At 40.4% G+C, this 24,188-nt stretch overlaps 1 pseudogene across 1 annotated transcript, besides 1 other annotated feature; it reads left to right on the top strand.

Annotated features, from left to right (window-relative positions):
- Nucleotides 1–454: 454 nt before the first annotated feature.
- On the top strand, nt 455–24,158 carry LOC728989 (phosphodiesterase 4D interacting protein pseudogene; annotated as a pseudogene). The gene is made up of 6 exons (NR_024442.2): nt 455–544; nt 18,570–18,686; nt 19,255–19,481; nt 20,415–20,558; nt 21,645–21,783; nt 23,800–24,158. The product of NR_024442.2 is annotated as a phosphodiesterase 4D interacting protein pseudogene (transcript).
- Nucleotides 12,354–13,553: an enhancer, noted in NCBI's record as "CDK7 strongly-dependent group 2 enhancer chr1:146501494-146502693 (GRCh37/hg19 assembly coordinates)". NCBI's record gives its function as "activates an origin of replication core promoter dependent on BRD2, BRD4, P300/CBP, MED14 and CDK7 cofactors, with strong dependence on CDK7, by STARR-seq in HCT116 cells {active_cell/tissue: HCT116}" and the evidence as "EXISTENCE:reporter gene assay evidence [ECO:0000049][PMID:35650434]".
- Nucleotides 24,159–24,188: the final 30 nt, after the last annotated feature.

Here is a 24,188-nt window from a genome sequence, read left to right as displayed (position 1 = left end):
TTTCCTCCCCTAGATAGTAAGCTTCCCCCTAGAACCTAGAACAGAGTCTGTCCCATAGAAGGTGCTCAGTAAATATTAATTGAATGAATGAAGAATACTAGTAAGTCCTATTACATACATTTCCCTCTTGCTTGTCCTGTTTCCCTCTTACTCTTTTCTCTTAGCTGCTTTCCTGTGCTTCTAGCTTCTCTCCTTTTTCTTCTTTTTGCTCCCATGTTTGAATTCTACCTTACAGGTTTTAAAGATTAAAAAAAAGATAATATGACACTGATTCAAAAACCATAAAATAGTATCAAAAGCTTAAGTACTAAGATAGTGGGCTTTTTAAGTCATAGTACATGCTAATGCATTTTCTTGTTTCTCAGGATTAACTGTGGTTTCATGTCTCACTGTGCCATTTGCGTATTGCTTCTTCTCTCTTCTTTTCTCAGTTGCTGCTGATGCTAGAAGGACTAGTAGATGAACGGAGTCGGCTCAGTGAGGCCTTACAAGCAGAGAGACAGCTCTATAGCAGTCTGGTGAAGTTCCATGCCCATCCAGAGAGGTAAGAGAGTGGCTGTTTTTTCTTTTATTCTTTATTGAAATTTTTATTTCTTTTACTATTGTATTCTTTTTATGCCTTTTATTCTTCATTAAGTGCAGATGCTTATGATACTGAAGAGGGGAGAAAAAACAGGGACAATTACCAGGGCCACCCACTTTGTCATTTGTTTTATGAATTGCTCTGAGCCTCAGTGTCAAAATCTTAAGTCGGGAATAGTGCCTGTTTCATACAGCTATTGCAGAGATTAAATAAGAAGACAGCTTTGGTGTCTAAAACAATGCCTTGTATATACTAAGCACTCAATGTATGTTCATTTCTTTTCTGTGATCCATGTCCTGTTAAAGGCTGTTCTATTACAAACATAAGGCTATACCCTGTCTCTACTAAAAATATAAAAATTAGCTGGGTGAGTTAGTGCACGCCTGTAGTCCCAGCTACTCGGGAGGCTGAGGCAGGAGAATCACTTGAACCTGGGAGGCAGAGGTTGCAGTGAGCCGAGATCGCACCACTGCACTCCATTCTGGGTGACAGAGAAAGACTCCATCTCAAAAAAAAAAAAAAAAAAAAAAGTAAGGCTATAATGGGCTCTGATATTCATTTAATATCATCAAAGAAAATATAATAATTGGGATGGCTAATATCATCCTGGGACCGCCGATAACTATCATGATGAATACATTTTCTTCTACCTCTTGATTTTTGGTCACATATATGATACCTCTCTGGATCATTTTCTATTCTCTTCATTTTTTTTTCTCATTTTGCCTCCCCTACTAGCTCTTTTTCCTCTTTTTCAATTATTATTATTATTATTATTTGCTATTCAGTTTCTTGTAATTTATTGTTGGGCTTTAAAAATGTTTTCTTTCTACCAGGAAAATGAAGGCAGAGGAAAGGTATGATAGGACCAGTTGATTGTATTACCTTTTAAAGAACCTCTGGAGCTTTAGTTTTTATGAACCAGATTCCTTTTCAGCACACCATCCCACCGTCAAGTTTGATAACAAATGAGAAAACAAATATCTTCAGTAGTGGTTCTACTTGGCTCAGTCTTGCTCCAGTTTATATTTAGTTTGTCCTGGGTTTTAGTTTTTCAGAAACAAAAGCTTTTAGCCAAATAACGAAATTTCTCGTTTGGGCTATAGGGGTGTGAAATAAGTCTTAGGAGCTATAATTTTATGTGAAATTGGCCCAGAATCTAGCATAAGGGGTAAGCTTTTAAAAAAAGCAATGGTCCTTACTAATCTATCAGCAGTGAACACGAAAGCCACACAAAGACTACATTCATTTATTGTGTCCTGGAGAATAATTACTTTACAAAATCGTGTGGCTCAAAATGGCATTGATGGTTCTTTGGAAGCAAATACGGACTCACTACAGTTGATAGCTAATCCATTTTCCTTCTGTGAGGCATGTTTAATAAGCTCTGAGAGAGACCAAACTCTGCAGGTGGAACTGGAGGGGGCTCAGGTGTTATGCAGTCGGCTAGAAGAAATTCTTGGAAGAAGCTTGGAGTGCTTAAACAGTCTGGAGACCCTGGCTGCCATTGGAGGTGGGGAACTGGAAAGTGTTTGAATTCATCACAAGCTTGCCTACTGAGCACTGGCGGGTCAGACTGCAGCCCAAGATGAAAAACCTTGTTTGCACTAACCAGAAAGATCCTTGTCTGACTTTGGCAGAATTAAACGGTGACTTACTAATGATAGAACTGGTACAAGTAGCTTCAACTACAAAGTGAAACTCACTTTAGCCTACATGGATCTCATTGTACATATATATCAATTCCTAAATTGAAAGGTGGAGGTTGCAAAGTGTATTTGCACATTTTAAATCATTCTGTTTTAGTTTTTCCATTTTCGTTCATTCTTATCCCTAGCCCCTTCTCATTCCCTCATCCCTTCTGTGGGCCAATAAAGTTTATTCTTCCCCCACTTTCACAATCCATTTCATGTGTCCCATATCATATCATAAATGCATGTGTGTGTAGTATTTTTGCCATTCAGTCAACTTCTCTTTGAGTGAGAGCATTTTTTAAATCAAAGGAATACAAGTTTTAAGATGAGAGAGTGGGAAAGAGATTGAGTCTATAAGAATGACTTCGCAAAAGTGATATAATCCTTATCAGAAGGTAATCAAAACCAGGAGAGTAGTCTTGTAATAGTAGACTGCAAGTATTGGGAAGGCCAAGTTAAAGAACAGAGGCAAGAACTATGAAAGTGATCATAGTCAACTTTTATTTCCAATACTGTCTCAGAGTTGACTGTTGTACACAAGTGAAATTAGATTAGGTACAGGTTAAATTCTACTTAAAATTTGTTCTTTACTGATTCCTTTACGTTTCTTTAAGCCAAGGTCATGCTATTTAGTCAGAACATGACTTCTAGAATGGCCTTCCAGAGTCAGAATTCTCTGTTTACAAGATAATTTCAAATGTAGTATCCCTCTTTACATTCAGTGTTTCACCAAATAACTCATTACAGCCAGAAGAGGGTATTGCTTCTTCCATTTGTGGCACTAGATAGGATCCTATGTTTTTCACTATTTAGTATGCATACATTTCTCCATATAAAAATAAGTAATAGGCTTCAGGCTTTGAAGTGCTAGAATAGTTTAGAAAGAAATGTTACAGATGTATGTTTATAGTTTTAATCATTGCCTCAATGCTTTCTTGTGGCAGCGTGACAGGTATAAGGAGAGGGGCACCAGAGATTGTATTTCTGATGTCTCGAATGTCAGAAGTGTGAAAAGTAACCAAGATTGCTTTGCAGCTTTGTGGGTTCAACATCATGAATTTGTTTTTATTTCCTCTGGTTTTAAGTTTCCTAGGTTAGAAGCTGAGGTTTCAGTTACTTTAAACATGGAATTTGGGACAGGGATTGAGGCTTTCTAGCACAATAAATGTGACTGAATACCCTTTCTAAACTAAGTGGGGCACAGTGATTTTTTTCCTTCCTTTTTTTTTTATGTGACACTTTATTTCTTTCACATGTTGACATGGCTTGTATTACGTTCTAAATTTCATCTGTTTCTGTAACTTTAGCTGTGTCTATAACAGATAGAGAATCAGTCAAACTAGAGTGGACAGGGAGAAAATGTTCTACTGGGGAAGCACTCTGGAATCTTCTGATTAAGTAATTTGCCAAAGATTGATAGCCATAAGCCTTACTCTTAATGGATCTGCCATTTCAGTTTCAATGGCTTTTGAGGAAAAAGGAGTCATTTAAGGAAGGAGATAGGAAGTGTAGGCCGATCCATCCACTTTTCTTAGTCTTCTAATTTTAAGAGACCCTTTCTTGCACAAAATTTTTTGTAACTTTCCAGAAGTAAAGAGGAAGGTAATGGAGCTATAGAAATGTCAACCCATCAAAGACTAGTTTGTTGTGTCATCACAACAAGGCATTTAGGGAACATCTTTCCTTAATTCTACTAATAGACCAGAGAAGCCTTCTGAGTCTGCTATTAAGATTCAGCTCCGGGTGATTCTTGGTTTCTAATGGCTCATAGTGATTACAGTTTATGTTAATAATCACTCCTACTTCTGTCAACCTCCAGCAAGAGTAGATTGATAGAAGGATAAATTAAAAGTCTGATCTTAATGTCATAAATGTGACTAAAATATGGTACTAACTTTTTCTAGTCTAGATAGCTGGAATGAGGCTTGCAAACAGTGTTATCTGGAGAGAGCTTGCTGGTCTAACAACTTTGTGTGTTGGACACATCATTTAATAATATTTAGCATGATATAATATTCCATTTTCTCTTCAGGAGCACAGACTCTTTCTCATACTGGATTATTCTTCCTTTGACAGTCATTTTTCAACATGACAGTAATTTTAGATAAAGCATCCTGTGCTTATAGAACCTTGTGCTTGAGTAAAAATAATCTTCAAATAAAAATAATGAAGTAAATTTTTACTTAGGCCATGCTTAATTGGAAGCATAGAACTTAAATTCAGAAAAAAATCCATATGATAAATTTTGTTTTTCTCATGTTTCCTTTTTGAATAATAGCAAATAATGCAGAGTAATGGTTGTAAGAGTTCAGGGTAGATGAAATCTGTAGGTTTTAGAAGTATAGAGTTGCAAAGAACCTCCAAGAGGACTTATTTAATGAGTGAAATAAATGTCCTTAGATAGATATTTTCCCAAACTCTTTTCTATTGAAAGTTTATAGTATGGAAAATTTGATGACTATTAGTACCTAGTATAAATCAACATTCATCTGATGTTCTCTTTTTAGATAACCAAGTTATAACTTTTTTGACAAGACATTATTGGACTATGTTAGTAGGTCAGCCTTTTTCTTTGGTAGTGTGTACTCTTATCTGCCACCGAATCTTCTCCACACCCTCTTCTCTTCATTCAGCTGTGGACAGCAGTAATATTTTCAGTACCTTTGCTTCTTAGAGGAAATACATTTTTCCTTATTTATATTTTTAAAAGATGTTTCTATTACATTATATATAGCAAGAGATCTATTAAGGATCCAGAAAATCTTAACCTGTAGAGGATATGAGTTCCTAACCATAAGAATTAGTTTCCTTGAGGGTTCTTTAGTATATTCTCTTTACACGGTTTATGCATAAGTAAACTCTGTGGCCGATGTACATAAAAAACCTATCACTTTTATGCTCATTCATCCTCCTAATTCAGTGTCTGGGTCATGAGATGTTTGGCTCATAGCTTCAAAAACAGTTCAAGAAAACTGATTTCAGTTCTCTCTATGTTGATCTTCCAGTTGGATCTGGAGTCTTCTGATTGTGGAAAGGAGTAGCAGATCACATTATACTGAAAATTGTCCTTTTCATTGAGAAATAAAGGTTGACTGAGCTACCTAAAGTCACTTTCCTTTGGACTGTGAGCCTTAGAGAGAACAATAATACCTTTGCTTTTCTTGAGGTACTATTAGAAAACTCTAGTTCCCATTGATAGGATAAACTTGTTTTCTCATTTCATGATCTTTTTATATAAAACAGTCACAAAATCTTGACATTTGGCATCCCTGAAAAGCTCAAGTGGCCTTTTCAAATAGGGTATCATGTAGTATTCTGCAGGTTTACAGTCAGTATCCTGCAAGGAAACGTGACAAACTTCCTGTGAGGTTAGGAAGAAATATTAGCAACACACACACTTAAAGTCCGTTTTCCATTTTACCTTGTAGAAATTGTACTAGAGATAGAACAAATGAAATTAGATTTCTTTTCCAGATATATCCTGTGAGATACCAGCACAGAGTATTTTCTCTCAGTTCTCTCAGGGTTAAAGCTCAGTGAGCTTTTCTTTTCTCTTTGGTAGTGTGGAACCATTTGTACCGTAGAAAGAATAGCTGGAAATATGGAACTCCAATGTGGCAATACAGTAATAAACAGAAGGAATGAGTCAGTAGGATAATATATTGGAGTGATTTCTGTATATTTCAGTTATAATGTTTTTTATATAGTGTATATTTCAGTTATTTCAGTTATAATGTGTTTTAGAATGTGGATTTAAGCCACCTTCTCACCCTTTGCACCAGTAGCTTTGTTAAAACATTTTATTATGATCGAATAACAAGCCTGTTGCTTTTAAGTAATCTAAGTGTTAACAGAAGGTAAGTCTTCAACTTCTCCATGTTCTCACCTGGGCCAAGATCAATTTTCTAAATAAAAAATAGCATCGTAATTTGCCTCCAACAAAGAATGGGAAACGGAAATAAACACAAAACTGTGGTCCTGACAATACTAATTCTACCAGGTTTCAAATAAGAATAATGAAACTTATAAAGTGACATACTGATTATTTTTGTGTTACTCTCCCTTTTTGTTGTTTAAAATCAAATTCCAGAAGTAAAAATCTTTATCATATTGTTTTGCTCTTACTTAAACTGGAAGGGTAAAATAGAAAGTTCAGCAACATCAGAAAATGTTGTATTTAAAATAATATGGAGAATAGGGGTTTTAAGTACATAAACCAAATTGGCTTCCTTGCAGGTTTACTTTTAGTGTATAACATGAATATGTAGTGTTTCTTTTTACAATAATCAAAGTCATAGCTCCAAGATAGTGACCTCTCTCTCAATCTATAACCTTTGGAGGCATGTGCATATATCAGCACATTTTATAAATTATGAGTTTCTATCTTTGTCCATGAAGTCTTGTTAGTTTTCACTTAAAATTTTGTAGGTTGTTGAGAAGAATTAAAGTGATTCATAACTTCATGCTTGAACCTGGGAGGTGGAGGTTGCAGTGAGCCGAGATCATGCCATTGCACTGCAACCTAGGCAACAAGAGTGAAACTCCGTCTTAAATAAATAAATAAATAAATAAATAAAGTGGTTCATAACATCAGATGAAGAAGGAGGTGAGTGATGTATTAAATGATCAGAAACTTGGCATTACATTATTTCCAGGACCATTTCCCCACCAAAATAAGCTGTATATTTTTCATTTCTTCATGGCACTGTGCTGTTAATTTGTGTTAACATTTGTGCTAAAATGGAGTGTAATTTTTACATATAAGTGTTAGAATTTTAGCTATCTTAGTTGAGACACAAAAAATTGTTACTGATCCAATAAACTTATCAAAGGCCAATAGAAACTATTTGGTTTTATTCTTAAAATATTTATTAAAAAAAGAAGTAGAGAAAGCTTGTATCTTTTTTTTCCTTATAGGAGAATCAGTTTATTGATTATTTACTAAATTCCAAGTCAAAGCAAGGCTTGTAGAATGAGTATTTATTTAACTAAAGGAAGGAAGAAGAAACCCCAATTTTTCTCCTCTTGAAGAAATGAAAAGTGTAACACTAAAGAAACAGTGTTACACTTTCCCCAGAAATGCGACATAGGCTAATTTACCTTAAAAACCCTTCCTTGCTTTCTTTGCTGTAGGAGAATAGCAGAAAGCACGACAGACGTTTGAGGAGCCAACTGCGGTGGGTAGTGCTGTCTCTAAACATTCCTAGAAAAGCCTGTTTCTTGTGTTCTTTGAAGAAAAAAAGAGACCATGAGCAGGAAGAATTTCTTGACATTACAGAATTATGGCATCACAAAATAGGTGCAGTGGTCATATCTCCTGGTCTGCCCAGGAGTCCTAATTTACATGTGCCTTGGTTAGCCTAAGGATAGAAGACTGTAGTTATATTGAATAATTACCCTTTTGGAGAAGTAGAAACTCTTTCCAGAATTTTAGTGGGATTTCATACCCCCAAAAGTATTTTAGATTATGATTTGGCCTTTTCAAGTCACTTAAAACAGCTACTTTCTGAAACATGTGAGCTGGAAAGCCCTAAGGCTACTTAAGAGATGTTGCAATTTAAAGACAAAGATACACCATAAAGGGGTTTGACTGCAGACAGCAGTTTTCTACCACTTCTGTTCCACGATCAGAATCTGTCTAGATAGAGAATTTTATTTCTTAGCAGAAACTATGGAGGACTATATGGAATCTTAATAGTTTTCTTATGATCCTGAAGGGAATGTGTGCAGGTGAAATTGTAGTTTGATAGGAGGCCTCTTTTCCTTGATTCTCTCATACAGCACCATAACATTAAAGTCAGCAATAGTTGGTTCATGACATGAAAATGTGAGCGTTCTTGTAATGAATGCATGGCGGTGTACCTGGGAGTCAGAGTGAAATTGGGCTGAGAGTATTAGACACAAGGGCCCAGTACCGAAGGAAAGAACACTTGGCACTGCCAACTTATTCATGCTTAAAGTTTTAGTTCTTCAGATCACCTTTTAAAATGAATAAAATATGATCTCTTGCTATATTCTAAGTAACTATATGGAAAAACATCACTCCTTTTCTGTTGATCCCATATTAATGGCTTAAAGGGAGATAATAATGACTGCAGAGTAGAATTTGGGGGAAATGGTCTTGACTCCACCCAGTTTGGACTCATTACTAAAGAACATGTCATGAGCCAGGTGTGGCGGCATGCACCTGTGGTCACAGTTACTTGGAGGCTGAGGCGGGAGGATCCCTTGAGCCTAGCTGTTCAAGACCCACCTGGGCAACATAATGAGACCTCATCTCTAAAGCAAAATAAAACAAAACAAAAAAAGAGGTCATGAAGTTTCCCCTAAGGCTTATTTATGCATTTTGGAGTTTTAAGACAGTTATCATTTAATGATGAGTAATCCTTTTTGTAAGGCACCTATTCCAAAGAGTTCAACCTACTTTACTGACAACTCCTTAGTTTTTCGATGTCCTGTGAGGCAGAGAGCAAAGAGTGTCATTTCAAGCCTCCTGCTGGGGGAAACAAGTATTCAGAAATGAAGAAGTGCAGGTAGAATTAATCAAGATCATTCAGATAATAATATCAAGTATAAAACTTCCTTCTGCTGATGCTATTTAGGTTCTATGGCCTTCAACTTTCTCAGCTTTCAACTAATAAGCCCATGGACTACTTCAGTTTACCTACAATAACAATAATAATAATATTGTTTAAGGATGGTATTTATTGAGTACACACTGTGTACTAAGCACTTCAAAATCAGCAAACCCTTTAAACTTCACAACAGTATGGAGTGGATAATGCTCTTAACCCTAGTTATTAAATGAAGAAACTTAGTTATGGAAAGGTTATGAGTTGCCTAAGGTGACATAACTAACGAAAAAAGCACAATTCAAATCTAGACAGTCTATCTCCATAGTTCATGTTCTTAATTATTATTCCATACTCAAAAAGTTCTACAAAAGTATGAATTTTTGCCTCAGTGATAAGAATACCTTACATTTGCATAATGCTTACATTTTCACCCAAGGATTTTATGGTCTTATGTTTTAGAGGCTTATTTTTGTGTACTTGGTAGAATTAGATAGCTGATAGAAAATAATCTTATAAATCTAAATAACGGACATCTTGGTATCACCTCCATTTTGTATTGTTCAGAGCCCAGAAACTTCCAAGAACCACAAGTTAAGAACATTTATTGAAGCCTCAAATAAAAGTTTTTGATAAAATTGGCAGTCTAACATGTAAAACTTAATATTGAAGAAGCAAGTTAAATGAACAGATTCTTAGCTTTCAGAGAATCTAAAGGTGGCAGACTATTTTATATTTTATCAAAAAATAAGCAGAAGAGTCATCAATATGAAAGCATAGTTACCTTTAAATTAGAAATTCAAAGTATTCCAAGTTAGTTCTGAAGACAGTGTTTCATTGTGCTGTAAAAGTTTAGAAAAAGGTACCACTCACAAAAGAGAAGTTCTCTCATTTATTTAAAAAATGAAAAATAGTAAAAGATGTCTAATGTTAACTTATATACAGGACCTTGTATGAGATAACTTACCCTTTTATTTCCATATTTTCTATAAATTTTTAGCTTTACCCCTCAAACATGGGAGAAAAAGTTTCAGCATTTTAATTCAAATTGGTAAAAGGCTGAGCAACCCTTAAAGCTGCCGTAATGGAAGAAGACTGTGAGCTAGCTTAAAAAAGAGAGAATGAAGGGGAAGAAACAAAACCCCTGTGTGGCAGAGTGTCGAGATGAGATGAGCATTTATTTGTCTCCATCTAATTCCTTATGAAGCCAGAACCATAGCATCCTGCTCTTAAGTGAAATAAGATGGAGCATTATCCAAGAATGCAGACATGGCACCAGAAAGGCTGCCAAAGATAAGTGGAGGGCAGAAAGTGTCAGATGAAAACCTTCAAGACCAGTGATAGTCACCCTTTCCAATTCTCGCTTCTGGAACCTGGCAGGAATGGTCCTGGGATGTGGGCCCAGCCTGACTCCACAACCCAGCAACAATGGTAGGGGATGAGGATCCTGACCTCATAGAGCTGAACTTTCTTCAATTACAGGATCCTTCTCTAGCCCCATGTTCAAATGAGAAACAATGTGAACAGTCTGTTTTCTGTCACTGAGTGAGACAATTCATTTCCTTTGCTGGAAAAACGTAAAAGATTGTGATCCCTACTGTTTTACAGGGAAAAATTTTCCAAAGTAAGCATAACATGATATGAGTGTCCTAGGTAAATTAGTATCCTGGGTTCAGTAAGTTTTAAAGCAGCCAAAGATTAGGCAATGTGTCCATACACCTCTACTCAGCTAGCATCCTGAATGAGATGGTTTCTGGGGTTGGTTTGAATGAGGAAGTATTGGAAATTCCTCTTGTACACTGTCTGCCACAGAACTCTAAAGATGCTGAGTGGTAGAGGTGGTAGAGGCTACACTGAACAGGACCCTTCCTTGATCCAAAGTTAACACAAAGTTCATGGTGTAGATGAGGAAACCTAAGCTGTTATCACAGCATACTTACTACCTCTTAGCACTCTATGAGATCAGCCTGGGCCATTGCAAATATGTAGATGTGAACTGCCCCTGCTTACCTTATCTGCATTGGGTAGTGAATGCTCATGATTCAAGCAAAGCCTTTCATGCCTGGATGTCTGAACTCAACATCAAGGTTCTTTGGTCTTGGAGGAAGAAGCAAAGATAAAGATCTGATTTGTCACCAGAAGAAAAAGTGAGTGGCTTCTGTCTAAGAGTCCACAGTCTTGACTTATTGGTGCAGCTCTTGTGAGGGCTAGTTGTGTAACCTTGGACACACCACCTCATCTCTTAGAGGTCCAGGTTAATCAGTGGTCAGAAGTGGAGTTGTAACTGGTTGGTTGCCGAGGCTAGGATCAGAACAAGATTTCAAGATTCTTTAAGTTGGGGAGGTTCTATAAGACACGGTGAGTGTCACAGTAGATTTTCTTTGATAAATTAACCATAATAAATTTCTACACTTCCCGAAAAATACAGTAATGTAAAAACATAGCTCTTGGTCTTAAAATGTATGAACAGTCTTAATTTTAATCAATATAAGGAGGAAGAAACACCCTAGATTTGTGCTGTCCAATAGGGTAGCCACTAGCCACATGTAGTCGTTTAAATATAAGTTAATTTAACTAAAATAAAATTTAAAATTGAATGCTTTGAAATGTGGGCCATACTACCCACATTTCAAAGCTCAATAGCCATATATGACTGTGTCCACCGTACTGGGCAACACTGGCACAGAACATTGCTGTCATTGCAGAAAGTCCTCTTGGTCAGTGCTGCCTTAGACCTTTGCCCATACCACAAACTGCAGCTACTTGTACCTTAGAGCAAGGTGTAGATGTTTGGGCCCTAGAGTGGCTGTGTTGATCTCTGGAGAATGAAAGGATGGGTTAAATCTCATGTGGAGAAAGCAGTGCAAGGAACCCTTCAGGCAAAGGGTGCCTGCGTAGAATAAGAGTTTGAGAGAGGTGAGGAGGAAGGGAGGTTAGAGGAAGAAATTAGGGAACAACTGAATCATTGGGTGTCTTGAATCTTGACTAGACCTGAACCTTACTAGGACACAGGACCCCCAGAGGGAAGTTCCTCAGAGAGATTGTCACCCTATGCACAACTGATCCCAACAATAGATACCTCTGAGAGATTCAGGGCAGCTCTAATTTCTAGACACTCAGTGGTGGGGAAAGGGTTAGGCATGTTAGACTCATGTTATGGAAGAGAAAGTTTTTATGTAGCCAGGCAGTGGGGAACAATTCAGGCTTTCTTGACATTCGAGTGGGGTAACCAGTGCATCCGACAGTCGGCTCCTTAGAAATGGGTCTGTGCAGGCAAAGTCAGCTTATGTTGTGAGGCTCAGGCTTGAGTATGAATAAGAAAGTGTCTGTGATACAAAAAGTTCTATTTTTCTTGCCAGCCCTGCTGGCTAGGGAGAATTTCTTCCCCATGTATATGGAGAAAGGAAGAAATGAGAGGCAGCTGGCAAAAAGAGTATAATTTAACCTGCTCTCTGGAAGCCATCTGTGAAGGGAATCACTTTTCTTTACTGGACTTGTTTCCAGGTGCACCTGCAGGGGATGACACCAAAGATGCAAGCACTGAGTTCACTGACATTATTGAGGAGGCCGCACACCATAGTCCCCAGCAAGTAAGTCAGTTTCAGGGTCTGGGGCTTCCAGGGTGGACTACACACAGCCCTTCTGAGGTCTGATGGTCTCCTGCAGCCCTTACAGACTTAGAGTGAGAAGATATCTTTTTATATAAACCACTTCTCAGTCATCTTCCTGTTCTCCTTGAGCAAACCAGCTGCCTTTCCAACCCATATCTTCACTCCATTTTTCTCTCCAATCCACCCTTTGGTTTGTGTTGTACCTCTTTCTTCTGCCTCCTGCCCCCTCCTACCCAGCTTTGCCCCTATTTATTCTCTGTAGCTATAGCTTCAGAAGAATTTTTACTTGCAAGACAATCGAGACATTCCTCTTGGGCTTTTTGTAACTGAAATGCACCACAGAAGACAGGGAGTCATCGAAGGGCTGCTCGGGGAGGTGGCAGGGCGGAGGACCTGCTTGGGAAGAAACTCCAAGAAGATTGGAATGCTTCCAAAGCAAGGATCTTTCTCAGTGAAATCTCATTATGCAAAGAGAACCTTATGCAACCTGACAAACCATTGAGGTCATGGTGACTCAGTGATCAGCAGATGGTACTTCAACAACAATCCCCTGTTAAACCTCAGAACTTGAGCTGAAACATTGCTTCCACCCACCATCAGTGAAGATGTAACTAGCATGTTACAAGAGTGAATAATCTGGACTTCAGAGATTAAGTCACCAATAGTGATCTCACAAGCACTCACCGGAACTCCTATAATGTCTCCACTTTGTCCATGCCATTTAGCAATCTCATCTCCTAGATGGACTGTGCCTATGATTCTTAAGGAGAAAGTGAATCATTGGTAGATAACCCGCACAAGCAGCTGGACTTTCCAGTGATAGCTTTCTTGGGGCTATTAGGAAAATTAAACAAGAAATGAGGCTTTCTGGGTCTGCCTGTATGTCTTCTGCATAAGAAAAAGAAGAGACATCGAATCAACCAATAAGAAGAGCCCAAGCAAGCATCCTCAAATCTTTTGGGATTTGGCACTTGGGGACATGAGTAGCTGTCTGGGATATGTCATGTTCTCAACAGTTTCTTTATAGTAGTAGGATCACCTTCTTATAATAGGATCACCTTCTTGTTGCTTTAGCTGTACCCAACCTTCCCTTCTCCCTTGAGTGCTTGCATGAACTCCATTTTTCTTTTCGCTTGAACAGCTTCTCCTGAGTCCTCCTTACTGATGGTTGTGACTTTATATACATCTCTCTCCCTCCAGAGAGATCCCTCTGTCCTCACTCTCTGATGTCATTAAGGATCTTGGGTGAGAGAGAGGGACCTGCAGGATGAACAAATGTCTACTCTAAGACAGCTAGATTGGGAGGTTGGCTGGTCACTGATGGTTATAATGACTGTGGGACAGGATTAACTTCAGAATAAATGAACAGGAGACACAGATATGAAGACAGTCAGATTCTGATTGATATGGTCTGAAGTACTCCAGGTACTGCAAGTCATTTGCTCTAATTCTCAACTGTAGGCAAACTGCTTTGTAAAGTTGCTTCTTCTTCAGCCTTCTTTCCTGTAGCCTAGCATGGAGAATCTGACCAGACCCCATTTTGAGGAGGTCAGCCCACCCTGGAATGTATTTTTTACATTAGGGCGTTAGTATTTCCATCACAATACTTGCCATATTACTTGGCATAGGAGAGATGCTTAGTGTAATTATGAGTTAACAAGCCTTTGGATCAGGGCTTGACTCATGATAGACAAAGTATATGCCTGCTGGATGGAAGAATCTCTTGGGTAAGCATCATTTTTCTTTCTATCACCTTTCCTTGAAAATACATCTTCAGCTCTGGGTAGGAGGAATCTTGGTGTATGAAATCATTGCAAATTTACTTCATCTTTTCTGGAGTTTGAGGTTGTGACTCTCCTGCTACCAACTAAATAAAGCTTACTTTACCATAACTGTTTTGTGTCCAGATTCTCAAAATTTGTTTGCTTGTTTCCAGGGAAGTGGTCCCTTAAGATAGATTTTGAGCTTCTCCTTGTTATGTCCTTCCTTGGAAGGTAAACTTTTGCTTGACACAAAGCTCCCTTCCTACTCCAAGCATTCATACACTTTCACTAACAGACACATCCAACCTTGTCTTTCTTCCAAGGTGAGAATCACCTTTTGGCCAATGCAACTTGCTTCCTCCTTATTTTTTGGACTCAGCCACCTCAGGAAGCCTCAAGTCTGGCATGATAGTAATTTTCCCTAGATTTTCTCCCACAAAATTCTATTCTCAAGCAGATGTAAGATCTATAATAAATACCTATAAAATTGCTGTGAAAGAAACTAATCAACCATTGCATTTTTTTATGTGAACTTTTGTAATGGAGAAAAAGTTAATCAAGAATAAAGATTCAAGCCCAGGTAGTGTGCATCTATAGTTGCAGCTACTCAGGAGGCTGAGGCAAGAGAATCTCTTGAGCCCACGAGTTCAGGGCCAGCCTGGGCAACATAATGAGACCCCCACCTCTTGAAGAAAAAAAATCAAGATTCAAATACAAAGAACAGACATTAGTAGTCAAAGTGTGATAAACTTCAAAAAGGCTATTTAAAAAATTAGTTACTTTTGATTGACAAATCATAATTATATACATTTATGGGGTATGATATGATTATATGTATACACACACACATATATATACAAACAAACAATATGGAATGATTAAACCAAGCCAATTACATATTCATCAACTTGCCTACCTATCATTTTTGGTGGTGAGACACTGGAAATTTACTCTTATTTTGAAATATACATTATTATTGGCTATAGTCACCCTGCTATGCAATATACCTTAAGACCTATTCTTTTTGTCGATACCTTCGATCAACAATTCCCCCTACTCTCCCTCCCCACTCCACCAGCCTCTAGTAACCACCATTCTACTCTCTGCTTCTATGAGTTCAACTTTATTAGATTCCACATATAGGTGAGATTATGTGGTAGGTGTCTCTCTGTGCCTGGCTTTTTTCACTAAGCATAATGACCTTCAGATTCATTCATGTTGTCACAAATGACAGGACCTATCCCCCAACATTTTAAGGTTAAATAGTATTCCATTGTGTATTATCTGCAACATTTTATTTGCCCATTCATCTACTGATGGACCTAGGTTTGTCCTACATCTTGACTATTATGAATAATGCTGTAATGAACATGAGAGTGCAGATATACGTTTAACATATTCATTTCAGTTCCCTTGGATATATACCCAGAAATGGGATTACTGGATCATAGGGTAGATTCTATTTTCAGTTTTTTGAGGAAACTCCATACTGTTTTCCACACCAGCTGTACTAATTTACATACCTATTCACAATGTGTTTTCCGTTTTCTCTGCATTATCTCTAACACATCATTCACCTTTTTGATAAATGCCACTCTAACAGGTGTGAGATGATATTCATTATGGTCTTAATTTGCATTTCCCTAATGATTAGTGATGCTGAGCATTTGAGAAAAGCTAATTTTTAATGCCTTAATGTTGAGAACTGACTTAACATTGTGACAGATATGAAGCAATAGGGTAAAAACAAAACAATGTCATTCAAACAGGATATCAGATTTGCACAGAGGCCCAAAATGAACAATAACAAAGTCTAAAAGTTAACAAATTCCCATTTGAGGAAAAGCCATAAGTTCTGCTTTAATTAAAACTTTGATGAGTAACTTCAAGGGTGTCTTCGAGAAATAGGTGCTGGGCAATTGTTCCTGCCTCTGTTTTTTCCACATGCTGAGATTTGTAGAGAGAGTTTGTCTGGCAGCATCAGCACAAGGATAATTACCAAAAAGTGAGGTTGGCTGCTTGGCAGGGTGGCTTCACCTCCACCTTCCAGTAGCTGCGGCGTTGGCTGCTTGGCAGGGTTTGTGTAGAGGCCCCTCCCCCTCCTCTCAGCTCCTGCTCATAAGTCCTTCAATCATAGAGTATCAATTTTAATCATCTCTGCTGCTTTAGTAATTTTACAGAAATCACAGATAGCTCATTCATTGGTTAGATTGGCCACTCTGTCTTTGATGGCTTTTTGTCAAAAGCTCCTTGGAGAACATGCTGATACTGTAGGGCTGATCCATTTATTCATTCGCTCCCAGGACTATCATCATCACTGCCTGTTTAAAGTACAGCTGTACGACTTCTAAATCATGCCCTGTTGTTTCCCTGCATGTTACATGCCACTTAAACTTCCCTGAATAATGTTAGCACTTTGAAAAGGGCCCAGGCATCTAGCCTCATGTCCTTGTTTCATAGCTGAGGAAACTCAGGCCTAGAAAGTTTCAAGTGACTTGCTCAAGGTTGCATAATATCTGTGGCTCCCAATTTCTAACATCTAAACCTTGCTTCTATACTACATACTTTGTCAAACAATTTTTAAAAAATTCTTGTGATTGTTCTAAGTGCTGATTCTTTTGCCCTGAATTATCATAATAACTTTTTCCTTAAGTTCTACTTAAAGCATATTATTTTACTTAAATTTTTGCATATGTAAATGTAATTGAGTTGTCATGGGTAAGAACAGTACATCTCTTTTGATTCTATTGTTGAACCTACAATCAAACCCTCTGTAGATATCCCTGTGGATTATTTTCCTTTGTCCTCAGAGTTACTAACCTGAAACTCTGATTTGTTCAACCCTCCACCCAACCTACAGAATCACTGATACTGTAGAAGGTAGAATCTAATGCATTGTTCTTCCTTTCAAGAAAGTTTTGTTGAATTTTTCTTTTATTTGTTTGTATTTAGAAACATCAGTTTTTTTAAAACATAAAGTTAGAACATAATATTAAATATCCTTTTCCATATACACATGTGCCCTCTTTATCCCCCATTCACATCCCAGTTTCGGTAAAATGCCTATCCCCTTTTTCTTTATTGAGAAACTATCTCATAGATTGTCTGTCTGTATGCTATGTCCTATTTTCCTCCCAGAAACACACCAGACAAGCTCTGCTCTAGGTTCCAAGACTCCTGGATTCTGAGAAATCCGATCTATGTGCATAGGCCACTACTGATCCTTCAAGTTGTGAATTACCCATTTCCTGTACATCCTCTAGCTCAGGGGTTCTCAGTTTAGCATGCTTAAGAATCACCCGTGGGCCGGGCGTGGTGGCTCATGCCTGTAATCCCAACGCTTCGGGACGCCAAGGCGGGCGGATCACCTGAGGTCAGGAGTTCGAGACCAGCCTGGCCAACATGGTGAAAGCCCATCTCTACTAAAAATACAAAAATTAGCTGGGCATGGTGGTGCGTGCCTGTAGTCCCAGCTACTCGGGAGGCTGAGGCAGCAGAATTGCTTGAACCCAGGAGCTGGAGGTTGCAGTGAGCTGAGATCTTGCCACTGCACTCGAGCCTGGCAACAGAGTGAGACTCTGTCTCAAAAAAGAAAAAAAAAAGAATCACCTGTGGAACTTAAGTAAAATGTGGATTCATAGACCTTAGCTCTACAGCTTTTTTTTTTTTTTTTTTTTTTTTTTTTGAGATGGAGTCTGGCTCTGTCACCCAGGCTGGAGTGCAGTGGCGTGATCTCCGCTCACTGCAACTCTGCCTCCCGGGTTCACGCCATTCTCCTACCTCAGCCTCCCAAGTAGCTGGGACTACAGGTGCCCGCCACCACACCTGGCTAATTTATTTGTATTTTTAGTAGAGACGGGGTTTCACCGTGTTAGCCAGGATGGTCTCGATCTCCTGACCTCGTGATCTGCCCACCTCAGCCTCCCAAAGTGCTGGGATTACAGGCGTGAGCCACCGTGCCTGGCAGCACCACATGGGATTCTGCTGTTGGTATTTCTCAGGTCTGCAGCTAGTACAGCAGGCATTGAATGACTTCCCTGTTAGACCCTGAGCTAGCCATACCATATATGCAATTTCATTTAAGCATCTGCTAACTCCACTAGGTAAGTGTTATCATCCTTATTTTATATAAAAGGAAACTGAGGCTCAAAGAAGTTAAGTGAATAGACTTGTTACAGCCATGTTTGCTTCCACTCAACCCCAGTATGAGTTTGTTGTTGTGGAAAGAATTTATCTGGAATGTCTTGGTGAAAATTAGTCCTCAGTGGTGACGGCTAGGTGTGCATGTGCTTCACATGCAGGGTGTTCCAGGGCTCCTGAAAACTGTGGTTGCCTTTACTCCCTAGATTCTGCTGTGTCCCCTCCAGTCCGGGATGTTGGTATGAATTCCCAAGCTCTGGTCCTCCCCAGCTCTGCTTCCTCTACTTCTGGCTCAGAAACGGCCATAATCAACAGAACAAATGGTAAATATGGCAACTACAGGGCCCAGGGACTGATGATGGAAAGAGATTAATGCAAACAACCTTTGGTTGTCTCTAAACATATTATCTGTATTTAGAGAGTTTTCTCTGCATGCCCCAAGTCCTTTAGCCCTACTCCCTGCACCTTCTGTGGCTGCCTTTCTTGCCATTGTTCATCCTCCTGTAGTTTTCCTACTGCTGTTTTTGCTTCATTGCACCGTAATCTCTCCATTCTTGAAAATGCTCTCTGTATCCAGCTTGATTTAATTGTCTGTGTCTTCTCTACTCAGAAACTTATTATTTATTGTGATTTGTCCTATTTCATTATCCAATAATGAAAAAGTTGTCTCCTGGCAAATTTATCATTAAGAGATAATGTAAGAAAGATTATAAAAATATAGAAGCCAGAAGATCTCTATGGACTTTGCCCCACCCTTGTACATTCCAAGGCTTCCTTTCTTGTTCCCGGCCTCGTCCTTTTCTTGTTTCCTACCTCTTTTGAGTTGGAGTAAACTGATGATATCACTATGAATAACAGAAGATTCTGTTGTGTTGTCATTTTCTTTTTCAGGCTTGGGTTTGGATACTTCTCCAGTAATGAAGACCCCTCCCAAGCTAGAGGGTGATGCTACTGATGGCTCCTTTGCCAGTAAGCATGGCCGCCATGTCATTGGCCACATTGATGACTACAGTGCCCTAAGACAGCAGATTGCGGAGGGCAAGCTGCTGGTCAAAAAGATAGTGTCTCTTGTGAGATCAGCGTGCAGCTTCCCTGGCCTTGAAGCCCAAGGCACAGAGGTAATCACATCTGTAGCTTTAGGTGCACTCTTTCCTTGTGCCCTTTCTTCCTTTGATGTTATCTCCTTCTCCCACCATTTTTGTTTTTTTTCATGCTTTGCATCTCTCCAGAGCTGAGGCTTCCTCTTCCATGTATAGCAGCCAGGCCCTTTCTTCTCTATCTCCTATTTTCACTGTGAGTTCTGCTCTGTTCCATATGTAGCTGACTGGATATTTCCCCTCAAACCCACAGAAACATGTGGCATTGCCTAGCAGCCTTTGGTAGCTTATTATCTACCACAGTCATGCAGGCACATGAACCATCTGTGGGCAGAGTAGACTCAATGGGATGGACAGAAACTGAAGGATTTGCAGGTGTATGGCCCCCACGTGTGGAAGGGGTGAGAAGCCTGGCAGCCAAGGCATTTCCTTGTGCAGACTGCATAGAGGGAGGGAAGGCAGTCAGCAAAGCTTCTGAGAGCACCTTGCCAGTGAGAGAAACCAGGAACCTGTGGCTGTGCTGTCTGAGCTGCTGGAGACCCATAGGTGCGTAGGGACAGCCCTGCCTCCACGGAGCCCCCACACTAGAGGGCAAGACACACACTCAAGTAGATAAGCACAGTAAGGGACTACAGGCACAGTATGAGAAGTCATCCTCTGTGCCGTGAGAGCGCCAATGCAAATGTGGTCATTTATCTCAGGCAAGGAAGGTAACAGGTTCATAGAGGACATAGCAAGGGGGGTGAGTTTTGAAAGCCTTGTGGGTTCTGCAGGTGGAGGAAGGCATTCCTGGTAAAGGGAGCAACACCTTAGTTCTGAGAGCTGCAAATGGTTGTGCGACGGCTTCACAGGTTCAAGCAGGCCCATGTTCTGTGCCTCACTCACAAAGGAACTTGAGCCCATGCAAGGGGAAGAAAGTAATCTCTCCGCTCCTGTGGTGTTACCTTTCCCCAGGTGCTAGGCAGCAAAGGCATTCATGAGCTTCGGAGCAGCACCAGTGCCCTGCACCATGCCCTAGAGGAGTCGGCTTCCCTCCTCACCATGTTCTGGAGAGCGGCCCTGCCAAGCACCCACATCCCTGTGCTGCCTGGCAAAGTGGTAAGATACCAGTGTCCTTTCTTGGTTCAAACCCAGTTCTCCTGCCCTCCAATACTGTTCTGTCTCCTCAATGTCACAGCTTTTCCAGAAAATCAGGAGCCACATAGTGAATTGGGATAGACACGAACTTAGAGGAGTGTCCCTGGAGGGACATCTCTGACCCACAGTCGCTGTTTTCATTGCAGCTCTAAATACATCCCATTCCCCACCAGCCCCCTGGCCCCTGGATAAGAAACCAAAGAAGAAGAGGAAGGAGTGTGGAGAAGGCAGAGACATCATAACCCTGGCAATCCACAAATGTTCAGTTTCTTTACCTCTCTGAAGTTTGGATGAGCTGAAATTCAGTTAAAGCTTTAGCATCCATCTCCTAACCCTCAGGTCCCGTGGTCAAATTATCACAGAATGCCCCCATGAAACAGCCTTTTTAGCCACTGCCTGGAATCCCAGCATATCACTTAAGCTGGCATTGCTGGACCAGGCCTGGGGAAAGTCAGCCTCCCCTCAGGATCTGCTCAGAGCTCAGGCTAACTCTGATTGGCAGACCCTTGTGTAGGCAGGTTTCAGGATCCCCTCCCCAGGGATTCTAGCTCCAGGTCAATGGCACCAATACCTTTTGGATCCAACTATGCTAATTCCAGGGAGAGGGTGTTTTGCTATCTTCATATTGGCACAAATATTTACAAACTTGCAAACTTTCCTGAGTCCAGATCTCTCTCTCCCAACAGAACATTTCTGAACTCTCAATCTTACCTGTGAAGGGAGAGTGACAGAACTGATATCAGGACTAAAGCAAGGTCCTCTTCAGAACTGGGAGTTTTATACCAGCCTGAAGCAAGGTTCTCTTAAGCTACAGGTGTGTAGGCCTGTGCTAGTCTGCATGGGGAATTCCAGAGTCTCAATATTCCTACCTAATGGCCTCATCCTAAACTGTCCTCAGCTGGAGGTATTCGAGGCTGTGAAGGAGGAAATCCAGTTCAGGGGAGTTGAGAAGATTGTAGAATCCTTCTTTGAACTGGAAAGAGCCACAAAGCACGGGGTGCTTTATGCCTTCTGCCTGTTCAGTAAGAGTCTGTTCCTCTTATCCAGAGAGAATCGACAGAAAGGGAACTTCTAGAACTGAGAACCAAAGTATCCAAACAGGAGTGGCTCCTTCAGAGCACAGCTGAGCATCTGAAGATCGACAACCAGCAGAAAGAGAGCATGGAGCAGTTCATCATCAGCCAGCGTAGGTTCCCTGAGAGGGAATGGGGGAAGAAACGGGCAGTCTTCCCGATGCCCCACTTGTGCTGCTGATGAGCAGTGACTGGGGGGCTTGGGGATGTTGGGAGTGGAGGCTGATTTGATGTCCCCAAACCTCCTGTGCCCCGAGCAGTTGTGGATGCAGAGGGAGGGGAGGATAGGGGGTGGATAGCAGGAAACTCCAAGCTGAATGGCCAGAGAGAAATAAATGCTTTAGGATTCTCATGCTAAGCAAGTAGGGTTAATTTCTGCTGATGATTTCTACTCTGTGGTGCTCTTTTGTTGTTTCAGTAACCAGAACACATGATGTTTTAAAGAATGCAAGGACTAACCTAGAGTTAAGGAAACTACTGCACCAGTCAGAGGCACCAAGCCTGTCCCCAACCCATCACCATCTGTTAGCAGATCTTGTAGGTGACGCTTGGCCTGCTTTCGCCTTCCAGGAGAAGATTTCCAGTCCACTTGTAAGATCACAGGTCCTCAGTGGGCTTCCTGCTAGTTTCTGTTCCCATCACCCTCCCACCCTGTCAGCTCCTGCCCCTGTATCTTGGTTCACTCTCACATTGTTAGCATCTCTCCTTTTTACTCCAATTTTTCTTCTTTGATACCAAGTCAGGAGACTGGAGAAATGCAATTCAGCTCACTCTTGAAGTCATTAGACATTTGGGAGTCTGTCTCTGAATGAGCTTTTGGTAGAGGGATCTTGAGGCCAGTTATGTGTTCTACTCTTCATGAAAAAGTAAAAGCAATTTGCAACCTAATAAACTGATTTCACTGCACACTCCTGGGTTAAGAACAGCAATTTGATTTTGATATTTCTTTAAGTAACACGACAAAAGAGATCTTTTGGGTCTCATTTGTCTAAAAGAGAATTTGTTAATAAATAACAACTGAACCTTCAGGGGAAAAATGTTATATATATATCAGACATTATCTACATTTACTTAAAACACTAAGTGTTTAATCATTCCCTAGGAATTGCTTTGAAGAAAAACTTGAGGTATATGAAATGGTTTAAAAATCAGAAACTAAACCTTTTAACGTGGACTTCAAAGCTTTGCCATAAGCAATTGAGCATATTCCTAGAAATGTTTCTAAACCATAACCTGAGAGAATGTTGATCTCCATAGTGTGAAAATGACTTGGGCCAGTTTAACTTGTACTTTTTTTTTTCTAAACTAATTCCGTTTTGTTTTTCTCTGATAATTCTTCTCTTTCCTGAGCCTCTTTAGAGCAGCACTTACAGGATTGCCTGTGTAAAGCCTTATTCCTGTCCCAGAAAAGGTAACCCAAAAAGTCTCTAGTATCCACTGAAAGGTAACCCAAATGTTTCTAGTATCCACTGGCTTTCTCCAGTGTGGAAGCTTTCCCCTCCACCTCCCACAGATCACTGGAAAGGACCCGAGGCCTCGGTCCTAATCCCTGGCTTATCACTAACTGGTGTGTGGCTTTGGCTTGTCCCTTAGTCTCTGTGAGACTGCTGCACCCTCACCTGTCAAAGATGGAACTGGACTTAGTTGAGCTCTGAGGTCCCTGTGGACTTTGCCCCTCCACATCCTCATTATGGCGACTGGACATAAACTTAACAGAGGACTTCCCTGCAGAGTGTCCTCTTCTTCCTACAACAGGCTGCTTCTATATGTGCATGTTTCATGCTAAGCACTTCTTTCTTGGGTGGAGATGACAAAGGCCCCTTTCTGCTGAGACAAAGTGATTTGGAGAGTCACTTGGCCCCTGAAGAGGGAGTGGTAGGATCCAGCCACCCAGTGTGCAGTGAATTGGAGCAGGGATCTCAGGACACAGGGAGGTGGGGAGGCTCCCCCTAACCTCGGGCACCTGTTGCTTCTCCAGACTGCAGTGCATGCTCTTAGCTCATCCTCTTAACTGGCTCTCACTGTGCTCCTGGCTTTGGTCACCCCATAGTTCTCACTCCAGCTTCGGGTAGCCATCAGTAGGGCCTGGCAATATACACTGATTTGGTTTGTTTTATGTTTGTCTGCAGGTGAAATCCCTAAGGGCTCTGCCATGTACTCCAGCCTTGTGACCCTTGCCTTCCAGGAACCATGCAAGAAGTGCAGCCACCGGAAGTCCTTAAAACAGCAGGAAAGGTTGGCCTGTCCCCCTTTTGTGCAGCTACCTATCTGCTGAGGAGCATCTGGGCCTCATTCCTCCAAGTCCACTGGAGGGTCCAGAAGAGGGAGTCAGAGTTGTATCCTGGTGGAGCTGGCAGAAAGGCAGAAAGCCTTTCTGACGGCTATGGAATACGATTAGCCAAGGTCCACTTGGCCCAGCACTAAGAAGAAGATGCATAGTTTGCACAGAAGGTTTTGTGATACTGCCTCTCAACAGCCCCAGCAGCTTGGGAACTAGCAAGAGCGCATTTCTTGCCTC

This window comes from Homo sapiens, chromosome 1 (genome assembly GCF_000001405.40).
Source record: "Homo sapiens chromosome 1, GRCh38.p14 Primary Assembly".
In the NCBI taxonomy this organism is placed as follows: domain Eukaryota; kingdom Metazoa; phylum Chordata; class Mammalia; order Primates; family Hominidae; genus Homo; species Homo sapiens.
This window is presented reverse-complemented; position numbering and strand designations above follow the sequence as displayed.